The sequence below is a fragment of the Homo sapiens genome, chromosome 17 (genome assembly GCF_000001405.40).
Source record: "Homo sapiens chromosome 17, GRCh38.p14 Primary Assembly".
Taxonomy (NCBI): domain Eukaryota; kingdom Metazoa; phylum Chordata; class Mammalia; order Primates; family Hominidae; genus Homo; species Homo sapiens.
This window is the reverse complement of record NC_000017.11, coordinates 63,376,060-63,393,407: the sequence shown is the minus strand read 5'-3', so window position 1 is coordinate 63,393,407 and position 17,348 is coordinate 63,376,060. Positions and strand designations below refer to the sequence as shown.

General features: G+C 39.6%; 1 protein-coding gene and 1 long non-coding RNA gene across 22 annotated transcripts in view, besides 2 other annotated features; one reads left to right on the top strand and one right to left on the bottom strand.

Moving 5' to 3' along the window:
- LOC105371856 (uncharacterized) overlaps positions 1–12,177 on the top strand; it is a 33,200-nt gene extending 21,023 nt beyond the window's left edge. Inside the window, exons 3-4 of the long non-coding RNA NR_188626.1 lie at positions 5,320–5,419; positions 11,913–12,177. This is a non-coding gene — a long non-coding RNA (uncharacterized LOC105371856). The remainder of the gene's footprint in view (positions 1–5,319; positions 5,420–11,912) is intronic.
- Positions 1–17,348, bottom strand: part of TANC2 (tetratricopeptide repeat, ankyrin repeat and coiled-coil containing 2) — a 461,469-nt gene that overhangs the window by 34,296 nt on the left and 409,825 nt on the right. For all 21 annotated transcript variants that reach the window (XM_011524597.3, NM_001394998.1, XM_006721810.4 and 18 more), the window contains 3 exons: positions 13,582–13,690; positions 4,651–4,773; positions 3,864–4,100 (listed from right to left, as the gene is read on the bottom strand). In XM_011524597.3, the coding sequence (XP_011522899.1) occupies positions 3,864–4,100; positions 4,651–4,773; positions 13,582–13,690 (469 nt within the window). The remainder of the gene's footprint in view (positions 1–3,863; positions 4,101–4,650; positions 4,774–13,581; positions 13,691–17,348) is intronic.
- Positions 11,906–12,200: an enhancer, noted in NCBI's record as "tiled region #4360; K562 Activating DNase matched - State 5:Enh". NCBI's record gives its function as "activates a minimal TATA promoter and a strong SV40 promoter by Sharpr-MPRA in K562 cells {active_cell/tissue: K562}" and the evidence as "EXISTENCE:reporter gene assay evidence [ECO:0000049][PMID:27701403]".
- Positions 11,906–12,200: a silencer, noted in NCBI's record as "tiled region #4360; HepG2 Repressive non-DNase unmatched - State 21:Repr". NCBI's record gives its function as "represses a minimal TATA promoter and a strong SV40 promoter by Sharpr-MPRA in HepG2 cells {active_cell/tissue: HepG2}" and the evidence as "EXISTENCE:reporter gene assay evidence [ECO:0000049][PMID:27701403]".

Here is a 17,348-nt window from a genome sequence, read left to right as displayed (position 1 = left end):
ACAATGTCGCATCATCACTGATATATGGTCAGTGTGTTGGTGAGCAGGTCTAGGGTAGCCAAGTGACTGAGGTTAACACCACCTGTAATAAGACCTATCAACAGCAGGGACTTCTAGTGCTGCATTTTTATAAGGGTACAGCATTGCTTACGTGGTATTCTTGCCAAAAATATATACACTCAATCTCACAGTGAGAAAACATTAGATAAACTAAAATTGAAAAACATTCTACAGAACAACTGGCTGGTATTCTTCAAAACTGTCAAGCTCATAAAAGATCAACAAAGACTGAGAAACTCTCACAGGTTGGAGGAGACTAAGGAGGCACAACACTAAATGTAATGTGAGATCCTGACCTGGATTCTCTAATGCAAAAATGATCAGTGGGACAGTTGGACAAATTTCAGTAAGGTCTGTAGATTAGTTAATAGTATTATCACCAAATTACTTTCCTGGTTTTGATAATGAGACTACAATTACTTAGGCTGTTAACATTAGGAGAAGCTGAATGGAGGATATATAGAAACTCTATGCATTTTTTTTTGCCTACAAGAGAATTATTTTATTTACTTTTATTATTTTAAATTGACACAATAATTGTACATATTTATGGGGTACAGTGTGATATTTTGATACATGTATGCAATGTGTAATGATCAAATTAGGGTAATTAGCATACCCATCACCTCAAACGTGTATCATTTCTTTGTGTTGGGTCTCTGCACTATTTTTGCAGTATCTTTGAAAGTCTAAAATTACTTCAAAATAAAAGCTCTACAAAAGCTAAGGGGATGGTGTGTAATAGATGAGATGAGAATCTGAAAAACGGGTTTGTTACACAAGAAGACTCCAAGAATAATTCAGGGGGATAGTGGCAGTTGGGGTAGAGACCAAGGAGTAGCTTCTCAAGCTCTTTTGAGGATAACATTGAAAAGTGCTGGCCACTAAATGAATTAGGAAGGGCAAAGGAGGGAAAGATGTCAATGACTCCCTAGTTCTGAGAAAAACGGAGGCTACATTAGCAGACTTTGAAAATCCAGAAAGAGGAGGGTAAAGATGCTGAGTGATTTTAGAAAGCTGGATCTGAGGAACTAACTAGTCAGGGATATGAACATGCCTGCCAAGGAAGCAGTTACAAATGTGAAACTACAGCTCAAAAACACTTTCAGAAATTAGCAATTTGGGGTTAAGAGTCACCAAAATGTAGGTAGGAGAACTAGAACCCAGTCGGGTTTGACGCCAAAGCCTATGACTTTAATGCTGAAGCCATGGCGAGTATGAGGACGGAAGGAAGACCAGAGGATCTCAGTGAACAGTTCTATCAGAAGAAGAAGAGAGGGGCAGCCAGAGAAGTGGGAAATGACATTAAAAGTTTACTACTGGCCGAGCACGGTGGCTCACGCCTGTAATCCCAGCACTTTGGGAGGCCAAGGTGGGTGGATCACCTGAGGTCAGGAGTTCAAGACCAGCCTGGCCAACATGGTGAAACCCCATCTCTACTAAAAATACAAAAATTAGCCAGGCGTGGTGGTGTGCGCCTGTAGTCCCAGCTACTTGGGAGGCTGAGGCAGGGGAATTGCTTGAACCCAGGAGGCAGAGGCTGCAGTGAGCCAAGAATGGTGCCACTGCACTCCAGCCTAGGCAACAGAGCCAGGCTCTGTTTAAAAAAAAAAAAAAAAAAAGGTTTATTATTGCTAATACTATGGAGGGGCTCAGAGATGTGAGGAATAAGACAAAGCTGCTTTATTTGGTGAATGGCAGTCATTAGTGACTTTTAAAAGAGCAGCTTGGTAGAATGTAGGGAGGTTGGGTTATTTTCTTTTTTACAGATACTATTTATTAGGCACTATATAAGATTAAAAGAGACTTTAACACCTCTTTTAAAAAAAGGCTTTATCTCTTTCAATGCTTACACTGACTCTTTTAACACCCTTTTTATAGATGAAAAGTGCGATTGAGAGAGGTTAAGTGACTTGTTCAAGCCCTTGTATAAATTAAGTATGGACACAGGATTTAACCCAGTTGTGTCTGATCCTAAAGCTTATCATTTTAATGAGTTGCCTCCTCTCTCATTCATGGAAGCCAGAATGCAAGTGGTTAAGGAGTAATAAAGAGGTGAATGTAGCCAGTATAGAGGACTCTTAGGACAGGTTTGGCAGAGGTGAAAGGGAAGAGATGGGATGTTGCTTCTGGTTAGCAAGGGAGAGGAACATTTCTTTTTTAGGTTAGGTAGGTTTCTACATTCATAGGTTTGTAGAAACTGAGAAAAAAGGTAGTGTGAATTTAGAAAAAGAATGAAATAACGTGAGAGAATGAGCAACACCGTGGGTTAAGAGTGTAGAGGAGGAGACAATTGCTCTGGAAAGGAAGGTAAGTACTTCCTTCTCTAAGGCAAAGTAGAGGTGAGCGTACGTAAGAACTGATAAGAGTTTTGAGATACAGGCACCTTGAGATGAGCTCGATCACAGTGATGAAGGGCAGAAGAGGCGTGATAGGATCTTGAAAGAAGTACATATGAGTTACATTTCTGCTCTGGGGAAAACAATGAAAGATGAAGAAAAGGATGGCTTGGCAGTGTAAGGGCTGAACAGCAGGAAAGACCCAGCTAAGATCAGAATATGAAGTGACAGCAATAGTAAGAAGGGCTGGCTGCCGTGGCTCATGCTTGTAATCCTAGCGCTTTGGGAGGCCACAGTGGGAGGATCTCTTGATCCAACGAGTTTTAGCAAACCTCCGAGCAATATAGCAAGACCCTGCCTCTACAAAATAGGAAAAAAATAAAGCTGAGTGTGGTGGCACATACCTATACTCCTGGCTACTGGGGAGGCTGAAGACTGCAGTGAGCTACAATCATGCCACTGCACTCTGGCCTAGGCAACAGAACAAGACTTTGTCTCTAAAAAGAAAACGAAAATAGTAACGAGGCCCAGTTATCATTGTTCCTAGAGGTGTCCATTCAAATGAATGGGATGTCACAGGTGCACAATCACTGTGCTACAGTAAACTTCTAAGGCTCTGAGATGTCATTGAGAGGCCTACGTCTCAGTTCCCAAAGGAGTGGAGGAGTCCCACTTTCTCCCCTCGTAACAGCACTGAATACCGCAGAATGAAGTCATACTATGACTTGTATTTCACTATGAAACCACTAAAGTCCTCAGTTTGTTTTCAGGACTGAAACAAAATACTATGAGGCCAGACTTTTTTTTCCCAGAGGCCCACATTTGTGAGACCAGCATTTTTCTTTTCACCAATATTGTGAAATCGAGTTTTTATACATAAAGCAAACATATTTTGGAAATATTTTCAGAGAACTGATCAGTACTAACAGAAGCACTTCGAGGTGCCCTTGGTCAGTCTGAGTATAAATAGGGAGAATCATCTTCTCCCCTTATCTCTAGAGTGGTGGTCTTCAAGGACAGGATGAAGGTGTCTGGTCCTGTTCTCATCTCCATGGCTAAGTTTTCTTCTCTACACATGAAAGGCTTAGAGCCTGCAGGTGTCATTTGGTCCAGACCTGCCACTGCAGTCTCCTGGCTTCCTCACTTCTCCTTCCTCTCTTTGTTAAAAAGAGGCTTCTTCTGAGCTCAATAGATCATTTCTGGGTTGTTATGTAGAAACTTTTTGTGGTTACGGATAAATGCAGTTTCCCAAGCACCTCTCAAAGGGTTTAGAACTGTGTGCTCCTGCAGGATGGATGGCAGTGGCCCTGCACATATGCAGAACCAGCACTCTCTCTGATCTCCTCTCCATCATGGTTTGATATACTCTACCCAGACTCATGAAGTAACACTGGAGATAAGAAAGAGTATGCATCGAAAATAAAGAAAAAGGGAAGAAAAGCAGCAGAGCTGGGCAGCCAGTACCTTGGCCCGTTTCTTGCACAGCAGCACCACAATGCTCAGGTACCCTGCTGCTGCAGCATATCCCAGGGGAGTCAGGCCACTTTCAGAAGAGGCATCCACGTTGGCCCCGAACTCCAGCAGCAGGGCTACCATTTCTGTGTAACCAAGATGGGACTGAACACATAGAATTGGAGCATTATTTAAAACCTCTGTCCGGTAATTAATATTGGCACCTCCCAAAATCAGCAGTCGGCTGACCTAGAAATAAACAAACAGAACTAATAATTAGACAAACAGGAGTCACATCCTTTTAGTCATCTTTTATTAAACCATCTAACATTCTACAACAGTGTCTAGTAGCATTTAGTAATTGCTTTATTTTATAATCTCATTTGCTCCTTTTTCTTTTCCTTTGGTAGATAATGTAAAATATCTCCTTTACATAAATGGCATAGTAACTAGAGCAATTGCCTCCTATACTGTAGTGCTGAACATAGTCTCTACGAAGTGAGCTCTTGGTCAGAAAAGCTCCTACCAAGACAAAGGCTACCTGAGATCAATTTACTCTTTGGAACCAGCAGGACCTGATCCCATATGTCAGAGTCAGCTTATAGAAGTTAAGAGGACAATGGAGCTAGTCTCTAATTTATAGAATAAAATTTAACAATTTAAAATATATTAAATTATCAATAAAAGGCTAATAAGAAAGACAAGTCAAAGATCAACTAAATAGCTACTTAATGTCCTTCTAGTTTTATTTTTTCATAGTTAATTCCTTATCATATTTATAATTTCTTTATAAATTTACCTTTATATTTGGAGTGTAGAGATTTCGTAAAGACGCCAGTGCCATGGAAAGACCTTCTGTGCTATAAGAGATCCAGAGACCTTGGAGGATGGAGGATGATACACCAACTTTTTTACTCAAACCCTGAATAAGAAATACAGACAATTAAATTAGTAGCCCAGCAAAAAAAAGTAGCATCAGTGGTGAATTAGTGGCCTCTTTGTTTTTGGTACTAATGAATGAGAGCGGAGTCTCACCCTAACAATGTTCATGCCAAGCAAAGCCTAGGTGGGGGGACAAAGACCAGTCCTGCAGGAACAAGCTAACTGAAACAGTCTCCATCTCTGCAGCCCTTAGCAACACGTCTACTCAACACCTCTCTTTTCTATCTGGATATAATTTATTTTTCCATATCTTTTTTATTAGCCTTCTTCAATAAATCTCTTAAATTCAAGTTACTAAATTACACACTGTGGCAGAAATAATGCAATGTGATCACGGATTTCCATTTCATTTTCTTCCTGAACATTTGGAAAAACTCTATTTCCCAGGCTCCTTTACAGTTAGGTAGGCCATGTGACTGAATTCTGGTGAATAAAATTAGGGCATAAATAATATGTCATGTCCAGGCTTGGCTCCAAAACTTCCTGCATATTTCTCTACACTTTCTATTGTTCCTTTTGATTACAGGCCAGATGTAGAAGATCCAATGGAGAATTCTGAGGCCCAAGGTGATTTTAGAACTACTACACGGAAGGAGCCTGCCCAGACATCTGCACTGTACTGTGATGTAAGGAGAAATAAATCTTTGTTAAGTCATTGAGATTTTGCAGGTTTGTCAATAGCAGCTAGTGTTCTTCACCTTAACTAATATATCCCAAAATGATTACATATGCTTATCCTCAGGAAAAAAACAGCAATACAGGCTTGATTTCCATCCGCAACAAATTTTCTCCTAGTATCACTGGCACAGGTCCCACGACATGTACTAATATTTGTCCTTTTCACATGGGCTTCCCCAGAAGGAAGTTAGAATAATTTGTTCTTCAGATCTCCTGATTGTTAGACACTCTCTGACAATCATCTTACTCTTCTGTCAATATCTGGATCAAATCAGTTAAAGAAGGAAATCCTGAGGGCAGGAAGATATTAACAATGAAATTTGGGTTGTAATAAGAGATATAGGGAGGTACTTCTTTTAAAAACTTAAGCTACTTCTGCTTTCTTTGTCCCTGAAATATAGAATGTTCTTGCCTAGAATACCTACATATACCCAAAATCAGGAAGGTGTGTTTATGCGGCATACTAGGGAAGGGGCATCTACAAAGGAGGAATGTGTCAGTAACTTATGAGTTATAAATTCATCTAACAAGACCTCTAGTCATGGTGGTCAAGGTCTTCCCATAGAGAGTTCAGGGTCTCTAAAGTGGGTTAGGAAAAAACTTCCTGTAGAGGGAATTCTCACACTAGAGGAAAGGCTGAAAGGTGAATAATGCTGTGGGAAGGCTAGATACACGAACGTTTTAAAGGCTTTTCCGACACAGGCACCTTTTTTTTTCTCCCTGTGGGGATATTCTGATGCAACCAAAAATTAAATCATTGAACTTTCCTATTAAAAATTTTATTTTCAGCCAGGTGCAGTGGTACATGTCTGTAATCCCAGCACTTTGGGAGGTGGTGGTGGGAGGATTGCTTGGGCCCAGGAGCTTGAGACCAGGGAAATGTAGGGAGACTACATCTTTACAAAAAAATTAAAATATTAGCCAGGCATGCTGGTGCATGCCTGTGGTCCCAGCTACTTGGGAGGCTGAGGTGGGAGGATCGCTTGAGCCCGGGAGTTTGAGGCTGTGGTGAGCAGTGATCGTGCTACTGCACTCCAGCCTGGGCAACACCGTGAGGCTTTGTCTCAAAAAAACCAAAAAACAACAACCACCAAAAAACAGAAGGAAAAAAGACTTCTACATTTCAGTTTTTGAAATTATAAAAATAATACAAATTTGTTATAAAAATCAAATAAAATAATATGGTATTAAAAATAAACCTCCCATCTCAATCCTAAGAGGTGACTCCTATTAACACATTAGTGTTTATTATTTAACACATTTTCTATATATACGCAAAATACATACATACAAGTGCATATAAACAACGTAAAATTTACTTTATTAAACATTTTTGATTAAGGAAAATTTAAAATGTATTTACAAAAGTAGAGAGGAATAGTATAGTAAAGCTCTCATGTACCCATCACCTCACTTCAGTAATTTTCAACTCATGGCCAACCTTGTATTATTTACATTCCTGCTCATATCCCCTTCCCTTGATGGGATTATTTTGAAAAATCCCAGATATTTTATCAGTTAATATTTAATTATTTTAGTCAGTGTCTCTCAACAGATATGAACTCTTTAAAACATACCTAAAACTAAGAAGGATTCTATAATATGAAATATCCCAACAGTGTTCAAATTCCCTTGATTAGCTAAAAAAAGGAACTAAAATTTTTTTGGTTTGAATTGGGATTCACATAAGGTCCATACACTGTTACTGGCTTTAAAACACTTTCATATTACTAGGTAGTTCTAGGCTTTGTTCTCCCTCACTATTATAGCTTTTAATAATCATCCATGTACATGTATCTTTATACACCTATGCATATATATCTATAGAATATGCCTCAAGAAGTTGATATATTTTGCGACATTTTGACATGGCTTTATCAAAGTGGCTGCAAGTGTTTATACATTCTCAACAAAAAATCCACAGCTTGATAAAATGAGGAAGGATGGTGCTAATTATTTCTACGTATCCTCTCGTTCCATTCTATCCTAAGAGCATGAGCCAAAAGGCTGGGTCAAATCCTAGCAGAGTAGACCTTTGGGTGCCCAGAAACACAATCCTATGCTGGGAGGCTGAAACAGAATCCAGTTTTAACCCCTCACACCACAAGATTATTTCCCTTTTCATCCTCCTCGATTATTTAAAAATGGCTACCTAATTTCTACATAGTCCATATTCTCTCTGGCCTTGAGGAGGCTGGGCTCTGTTCTGAATCTGTCTACTATAGTACCCATGTAGGCACCCAGAGCTGGGTAAACAGAAAACAGTAGGAAAGGTGGGTAAGGGCAGCTTCTGATTGCTCATTATTACTTCAGAAGCTCTTTTAATTTGTGCAAGTAACAGGGACATCAATTACAAACTCTCATTTGGCCATGCAGTTTACATGCAAACAAAACTGAAGCAAATACATCACTAAGTAGTTCTGATTGTTATTTTGGCATATGAAATAGAATAGTTCCAGATCTTTTAGGAAGAATTCTAAATGTTACTCAGGGTTGGAGTCCAGACAAGTTAGGTTCTTGAGCACACCTGCACTGTAGATCCTGGAAGACCAGGAAGCTTAGCTGTGACTCCCCACTTGGGCCTCAATCTCCTAATTTATAATATGTGTGGGCCTCAAGACCTTTTGAGGAATGATAAACTATATTAACGAATTCAGAGAGAAAAATCAGCATTAAGAAATATCCATAGTCTAACAGAGGAAGCTTTTAGCAATGGAAGACATGTCTTACATATGATGGTTGAAGGAAAAAAAGGCAGGAAATCTGACATTTATTCAGATCTACAATGTGTCAGGTTCTGTGCTAGGGCCTTTCCAGATTTAGCTTCTCTAATGTAATCTAATCTTCACAACAGCCCTAGGAGGTAGAATTTATCACTATTTTTATTTAGGAGGGAACACAACTCCTGGAGCTAGAATTAGAGGCCAAATCTGTTTTTACTCTAAAGTTCATGTTCCTTCCATTATACCAACTAAAAAAAGGAAAAGTAATTGGCACCTGATTCAGGACCTCACTTCTCTGATCTTAGCTGAAAAAGTAGCAACTATAATAGACTAAAACAGACAAAACAGCTGATTGCTGCTTTCTCCCTTTACCTTTAATTCCAAACCATTTTCCATCCTTGGCCCTCTTCTCCAAAATTGTCCTTTTTAATCCCAGACAATTTCTTCTACTCCTAAGACATCACACTTATGAATTCAACTAAGCATTATATGCTTTTTTCCCAACTATTAAATTAAAGTAAAATTGTGTCTAAGACCTGTAACAGTTACCTTTCTGTTGACATATGTATGCTAACTTTAGGATAAGGGTTATCACTGGGGAGGGAGGAGAATGGGGTAAGGGAAAGATATAAAGGGGCTTCTACTATAATTGTTACATATATAACATTTATATATATAACTATTAAATGTAGGTAAGAGTCACCTATATTTTGGTGACTCTTAACCCCAAATATATATATGTGTGTAGCCTTTAGAGATCCTAGCCCCTCTTCTGAGGATTATATATATTAATGAATTAAATCCTCACAACCACTTAGTAAGGGCTAATATTATTGCCATTTTAAAGATTAGTAAGATTAGTGGTGGTAATCCCAGCACTTTGGGAGGCCAAGGAGGGAGGACGGCTTGAGACTAGCAGTTCAAGACCAGCCTGGGCAACATGGTGAGACCCCCATCTCTACAAAAAATAAAAATAATTAGCCAGGTGTAGTACTGTTTGCCTGTAGTCCTAGCTACTTGGGAGGCTGAGGTGGGAAGACTGCTTGAGCCCAGGAGTTCAAGGCTGCAGTAAGCTGTGATTGTGCCACTATACTCCAGCCGGGGTGAAGAGTAAGACCTTGTCTCCAAAAATATAAAAAAAAAAGTTAAACAACTTGCTTAAAGTCATACAGTCAGGAATTAAGAGAGACAGGGTTTGAACTCAGTCTGTTTTTAGAGTCTGATCTCTTAATTACCATGCTTGCTATACTGCCATCTTTAAATTAATGATGTGGAATAGTGATTTTTTTCAAACAGGAAAAGAAAAGAATAGTGGTTTCTCAACTAGCTGGGGTGCACATTAGAATTACCTGGGAAGCTTTTCAAAAATACTACTGATCAGTCGCTGCCGGTGGGAATGCAAAATGGCACAGCCACTTTGGAAACTAGTCTGGCAATGTCTTGCAAGCTAAACATAGTCTTACCATACAATCTGGTAATTGCACTACTAAGGCATTTACTCAAATGAGCTGAAAATTATGTTCACATAAAAACCTGCCTCTTAGTGTTTATAGAAGCTTTATTCATAATTGCCAAAATTGGAAGCAACCAAGATGTCCTTTAATAGATGAATGGCTAAATAAAATGTAGTAAATCCTTATAGTGAAATATTATTCAGCAATAAAAAGAAATGAACTATCAAGCCAAAAAAGACATGTAGAAATCTTAAATGCATATTGCTAAGTGAAAGGAGCCAGTCTGAACATTCTACATGTTGTGTGATTCCAACTATATGACATTCTGGGAAAAGCAAAACTACAGAAACAGTAAAAAGATCAGTGGTTGCCAGGGGTTGAGGAGGGTAAGGGGAGAGGAATGAATAGGTGGCGGATAAAGGAATTTTAGTGCAATGAAACTATGCTGAGATACTTAATGGTGGATACATGACATTATGCATTTGGCAAAATCGACAGAGCTGTACAACACAGAGTGGACCCTAACATAAAGGATGGACTGCAGCTAATAATAATGTATCACTATTGGTTCCTCAATTGTAACAAATGTACCACATCAGTACAAGATGTTAATAATAGGGAAAATTGTGGTTGGGGGAGTATGTGGGAACTCTGTACTTTCTGTTCAACTTTTATATAAGCCTAAAATTGGTCTAAGAAATAAAGTCTATTTTAAAAATGAAGCCTAGGTTCTACTCCAGAACAATGACTCATAATCTCTGGGAGTAAGGCTCAGGAATGTGTGTGTATTTTTAAAAAAACTCTGCAAGAGAATCTAATGTATAGCCAGAGTTGAAAATCACTGACCTACATCTATAGAGAAATCTCAAAGACAGAATGCTGAGTGAAAAAGAGAAAAAAGTTATAGAATCTTATAGCATTAAAAAACCCAAAATAGTTGTATATATTGTTTATGAACAGGAACCTACATTGGAAAAGTGTAAAATATAGATGAGAAGAACATGTTAGGGGTGTTAGCATGTGCTAAATCCCAACACATTTAGAATAGGAGTTATCTCTAAGGGAGACAGAGAAATGGGGTAAAAGAGAAATACAAAAGCGTTATCTATTATATTTGTTACATTCATTTCTTAAAAATAAAGAAAAATATTTGAAGCAAACATGGAAAAATGTTAACATTTGTTAAATCTGGTAGATAATATTTGATTACATGCAATTATCTGTACTTTTCTATATTTCATAATGCAATTAAAGAGGAATAGGAACATCTTTTCTTCTAAAACAAGAAAAAAAGAGGTAAGAATTGATAATGATATAGATTGATTTGCTGGTGAGGGGAGGAAAATAGTTAAAGGAAGTCACACTTGGTAGCTTTGATCTTTTTCAGTGACTCACAAGTTAGGCTGTTTGTTTCATTAGTTGGCTTTATTAAGAGCTAGAGGAAAAAGAAATGGGAAAAGGAGCTGAGTAAGAATGGACCTTGGTAAATGAATGTCAACTAAATGGTCCAGTAAATGGACCACAAAGCAGCACTGAGAACCGCACTGAGGCTGGACTAGATACATAAGAAATACGCCTGAAATACATAGCTTTGGATTTGGAATACTAGCTTTACTTGTACTATGGACTTTTGATTTCTTCTGGTTAGTGGAGTTGACCCTTTGTTCCTGTGAAGTACGGGAGAAAAGAGCGTCAGTTTGGTTCAATTCAACAAAGATGACAGGCAGAGAAGTGTGATCCCATTACCAGCCAGGATGTAGCCAAAAATAATGCATAATTAAATTCTAAGCTCATGGTTTCTTAAAGAGAATTTTATGTTCGAATAGCTTGAAAAAGTGCCTCTTCAGTATCTGTAACTATTGCTCAGGTAAGGGATCTTTTTGTCGGCAATAAATGGTAATGGAGTCCCTTCCTTAGAATCTAAATTTACAAAACTGTTTAGCAGCCAGTGATAAGCTTGCTCAAGATTTTTGAATACTTAAGAAAACAGGGAAAGCATGAAGAAACAAGAGCAATCTCATCTTAGGGATCTTTAGCTGTGGCTCAGGTATCTGAAGATCATGGCAAAAACTAACCTTGGGGGCTTATCCAATGAGCTTCTTTAAAGCGGGTTATTTACAAACATCACCTTTATGAATATAAAACCAGAGAAATGTAAAATTAATTGGAAAAAAGTACCCATTGGATTGTGTGTCACTGCTGAATAGAAGTTTCAAGTGGAACTATTTCTAACCATAAAGTCTATATTTGTCTTTGACCCACAGCTGGTGCAGATTGAGAATTCTAGCAGTTTGGGAGAAGTTAAAGCCTCTCAACAGGGAACACTGCATTTAAAGGATCCTGTAAACTGCAGCACCAGGAAAACCATAGTCCAAGTCTTCATTCTTCAGCTTGCAGTCACGTCACCACCATATGCTGTACACTAGAGTATTTATGGCTTGAATCACACATGGAGCCAGTCTTATCTCAGGCAACCATGCTGTCTGCATCAGTATAAGATAAAACTGTGCTAATGACAGGAGGGCATGTTTAAATGTACGTTTCCATGTATGGGATAAAATACTTCGTCAAATGAAGCTTGGTCAAATGAAGCTTCATGCTACTTCTCTGTGAATGTGGTATTTATTTTATGGGGCAGCAAAGGCAGGGATTAGCTTCATTTTTGCATCTGATTCTAGGCAGATAGTGATGCTAAAAGGTTAATGCTTAAGTTACTGTCTTTCAGTTACTATCTAACAGCAGGACAATGCTCTTAGAGTTTATGGAATTATTAGCTACTTTTTAGTCTGCTTGAAACTGGAATGCCATACCTTGCCAGTTATTTTAGCTCCACTCTGCTCCTACTAAGTAAGGTCATTTTTGGTACAGTGATTTGTTAGACAAGACAAGTAAGATTCAAATACAAGATTTGTCACTGTGGGTTTCACTTCTGTCCATCTGATGACCAGGCTGCTCTGGCTCTGTGCTTATATATTGGGAAGAATTTGCTAGGCTCTTGAAGTTATCCTTAATGCCATCTTTCTCTCTGAAGACAATGGTTTCATTTTTTAACAATATCCTGTGGGGGAAGCCTGACCCAGAGAACTGTTTAAGATACCCATATTCTCCATCCTGAGGCAGGAAAAGAATTCTGAAAAGGCTGTAGGGATTGGAACTCTCAGACTGTGGGACAGAAAAATTAGCACAGTAACTTCCTTCTCCACTTTTGTGGGTTAACCCAAAACTGTTATCTGAACTACAAATTCCTTAAGATTAGGGATTGTATCTTTTTTGTTTTTGTATCTCTAGTACCCAGTTTAATGCCTCAGTAAGTGATGAATAAACAAATGAATGCATACATGCACAAACAAATTATGTGTCCTCTTTTTGGTCCTCCATTTCAGCCTTCTGAAGGCTGAGAGAGAAGCTGATGTTATAGAGTTCTTAAAGGTTTTCAAACTAATGGGAGAAAAACTGGGATATAATTTGAAGAGAGATTTGGGGGAAGTAGCTCCAAGGAAGGTTAGTGTTGGTTTGAAAGTCATAGCACCAGGAATGTTATTATTGTCACTAAAACAATTTTAAAAAATGGAAAGAGTAATTGCCCTCAGTGATTTTTTAGACATCATGAAAACCTGCAACTAATTGCTACAATATGACTGTCCTCAGGAGATGATAGGTCATGTATGGAGCACACATCTATAGGTGTATATGCACCTTGTCAATGATTATACATATACATTTCCTGAAAAGCCTATCAGTTAGTTACACTGGGAGATGTACAATGTAGTTCTAAAGGCCTAGGGAGGAACAGGCCATACGTGTTGGGAGATGAACCAAGTTTGCAGCAAAAGAACTTCAGAAGGCAGGGACTACACTGAAATAGTCTCTTACATAAAGCATATGAAAGTCTGCTAGAGATGGCGGAAAAATGGTTCCAACTGCTTTAATTACCTTAAAAATGTGTGCTTTGAGGATGTGATGTCCCAGTTCAATAGTCTGCTGTCGGTTTAGTTTTCCCTCTTGGCGGGAAAACCAGAAGGCAAGTAACGTGTGACCACTCCTGCAAAAAAAGAGAAATTCATTTTAATTAATTAATTTATTTATTTATTGAGATGGAGTCTCACTCTGTTGCCCAGACTAGAGTGCGGTGGCGCAATCTCGGCTCACTGCAGCCTCCACCTCTTGGGTTTAAGTGATTCTCCTCCCTCAGCCTCCTGAGTAGCTAGGATTACAGGCGCCTGCCACCATGTCTGGCTAATTTTTCTATTTTAGTAGAGATGGGGTTTCGCCATGTTGGCCAGGCTGGTCTCGAACTCCTGACCTCAGGTAATCCACCTGCCTTGGCCTCCAAAGGCATGAGCTGCTGCGTCCAGTCTGATTCATTTTAATAGAAATGTTAATGCCCCAATTCTGCTTTGGTTGGGGGACTCTTCAGGTCCAGTCATACCTCCAACAAAACTATATCATTCAACTGGTTTTTTGGGGAAGGGCACCTGCTCCTGGGCAAAGAATGGGTACTGAAAGGTTCCTAGGCAGTTCCTTATCCAAATCACATGTATAAATACCACAAAATGTCAGTTATAGTTGGCTTACACCCATCCCACACACAGATGGCATTACAAGATTTTCATTTTTATTTTCTGTCTCTGTCAGCAACTCTCATTCCACCCATGCTTAAATGTCAGTGTTCCTCAGAATCTCATTCTTGGTCCTATTCTTTCCTCGCTCTAGATTAGCTCATCCATCCTCAAAGCCTTCACCACCACCTATATTCTGTATCTTTTTCTTTATTTAGACTTTTCTTCTCAGCCTTAGGCCAGTATATATCCAACTGTCTATTGTACTTCCCCATTTGGAGGTCTCAGTACCTCACACTCAACACGACCCAAACTGGACTTACAACCTCTTCCCCAAGTGACGTCTTCTCTGATCAGCCTCTACCAAGCCCCTACCCTTTCCCTCCAGCTGAGAATGGAGGGCTTTCTTTCTATGGCTACCAGTGTAGACTGTATATCCTCTAGCACAGTGTTTGCCATACTGTCACATACTCTCTCCTCCACTAGATTGAGGTTCCTGATAGCATCTGTTCCCCATTATCTCCTTGCTAACAGATCCCAAACCTGTTTATGAAAGAGAAAGCTCTTTTATCTGCCTCTGGATATTGTCTTATCTGCCCATGATGTCCAGAACTGCCTTAGTTTTCTTGCAAATCATGTGGTCAGCTGGCTTGAGGACAAAGTCAACAGGAGGGCTAGGCTAAAAGAATTGCAGAAAAATAAAGTTTGAGCCCTATTAGCTGCCCTAATTCTGAACTTGTTATATGAGGTAATAGATTTCTGTTCTGTTTAATCTATTTGAATTGGAATTTTGTTTTTTTTTTCCAGCTCAAAGCATCCTAATGATACACTTATTTTAAGTGTTAATGTGTGTGTGTATGTATGTGTGACATGTATGTATATTTAGGGTTGTATTTCTATTTACATTCACGAAAGAAATCTGAATTACTTATATCTTCCATAGTGCCTAACATAGTCTACTGCATATAAAAATGCTCAATAAAACTTTTAGAAGAAAAAATCTGGCATTAAAGGACACTAGATCACCTTTGAGATGTGTTTTCTTACCCCATTTGTTATGGCCTCTAAGAACTGCTGACACTTAGAACCGTCTCTCTATGGCTGATATGCTTTGACTCTGTGTCCCCACCCAAATCTCACCTTGAATTGTAACCCCCATAATCCCCACGTGTCATGGGAGGGACTTGGTGGGAGGTAACTGAATCATGGGGGCGGTTTACCCCATGCTGTTCTCATGATAGTGAGTTCTCAAGAGATCTGATGGTTTTCTAAGTGTCTGGCATTTCCCTGGCTGGCACTCATTCTCTCTCCTGCTGCCTTGTGAAGAGGTGCCTTCTGCCATGATAAGTTTCCTGAAGCCTCCCCAGCCATGTGAGTCAACGAAATCTCTTTTCTTTATAAATCACCCAGTTTCAGGTATTTCTTTACAGCAGTGTGAGAATGGACTAATACAGTAAGTTGGTACTGCAGAGAGTAGGGTGCTGCCCAAAAATGTGGAAGCAACTTTGGAACTGGGTAACAGGCAGAGGTTGGAACAGTTTGGAGGGCTCAGAAGAAGACAGGAAAATGTGGGAAAGTTTGGAACTTCCTAGAGACTTGTTGAATGGCTTTGACCAAAATGCTGATGGTGACATGGACAATGAAGTCCAGGATGAGGTGGTCTCAGATAGAGATAAGGAACTTGTTGGGAACAGGAGTAAAGGTGACTCTTGCTATGCTTTAGCAGAGACTGGTGGCATTTTGCCCTTGCCCCAGAGATCTGTGGACTTTGAACTTGAGAGAGATGATTTAGGGTATCTAGTGGAAGAAATTTCTAAGTAGCAAAACATTCAAGAGGTAACAGAGCATAAAAGTTTGAAAAATTTGCAGCCTGACAATGCAATAGAAAATAAAAACCCATTTTCTAGGGAGAAATCTAAGCCAGCTGCAGAAATCTGCATACTCAATGAGGAGTCAAATGTTGAATCACCAAGCCAATGGGGAAAATGTCTCCAGGGCACGTTGAAGGTTTTCATGGCAGCCCCTCCCATCACAGGCCTGGAGGCCTAGGAGGAAAAAGTGGCTTAGTGGGCTGGGCCCAGGGCCTTGCTGCTTTGTGCAATCTCCAGACTTTGTATCTTGCGTTCCAGCTGTGGCTAAAAGGGACCAATATACAGCTCAGGTCGTTGCTTCAGAGGGTGCAAGCCCCAAGCCTCATTTTGTAAAAATACAAAAAATTAGCTGGGCATGGTGGTGGGCACCTGTAGTCCCAGCTACTTGGGAGACTGAGGCAGGAGAATGGCATGAACCTGGGAGGCGGAGCTTGCAGTGAGCTGAGATTGTGCCACTGCACTCCAGCCTGGGCAACAGAGTGAGACTCCATCTAAAAAAAAAAAAAAAAAAAAAAGAGTACAGTGGCAATTTCCAGATTTTATGAGTTCGAAAGAACCCTGGACTCACACCTTCAGATGATACTGATGATTCCATGCAAGCTACACTTGTCTGAGACATTCTCCCAATTAAATAACTTCCTTTCTATTATGGTTAATTCATCCAATCAAACAAGGTGACCTGGTATCCACTACAATTTAGAAATTCTGTAAAGGCAAAAATTAAAGTCCCTTTTTAAACTCTTACTGGAATGAAATCCATTTGATGATTCCTATGTATGATGGGAGCTGTCCCATCCCCTGTGTTCCAGGTTCTTTACTGACACTTAAAAACTCTACAGTCACAGCAGAAGGCACCTCTTCACAGGGTGGCAGGAGAGATAATGAGTGCCAGCAGAGGAAATGCCAGACACTTATAAAACTATCAGCTATCACGAGAACAGCATGGGGGAAACTGCCCCTATGATTCAATTACCTCCCACCAGGTCCCTCCCACAACATATGGGGACTACAGGCGCCTGCCACCATGCCCGGCTAATTTTTTTTTTTTTTTGTATTTTTTAGTAGAGATGGGGTTTCACTGTGTTAGCCTGGATGGTCTCAATCTCCTGACTTCATGATCCACCCGCCTTGGCCTCCCAAAGTGCTGGGATTACAGGTGTGAGCCACCGCACCCGGCCCTGAACTCTTATTTATCCCATGAAAACTCAGTTTAGGTGATAGGTTATTTTATTTTTTTCTTTTTGAGATGAAGTCTCGCTCTGTCACCCAG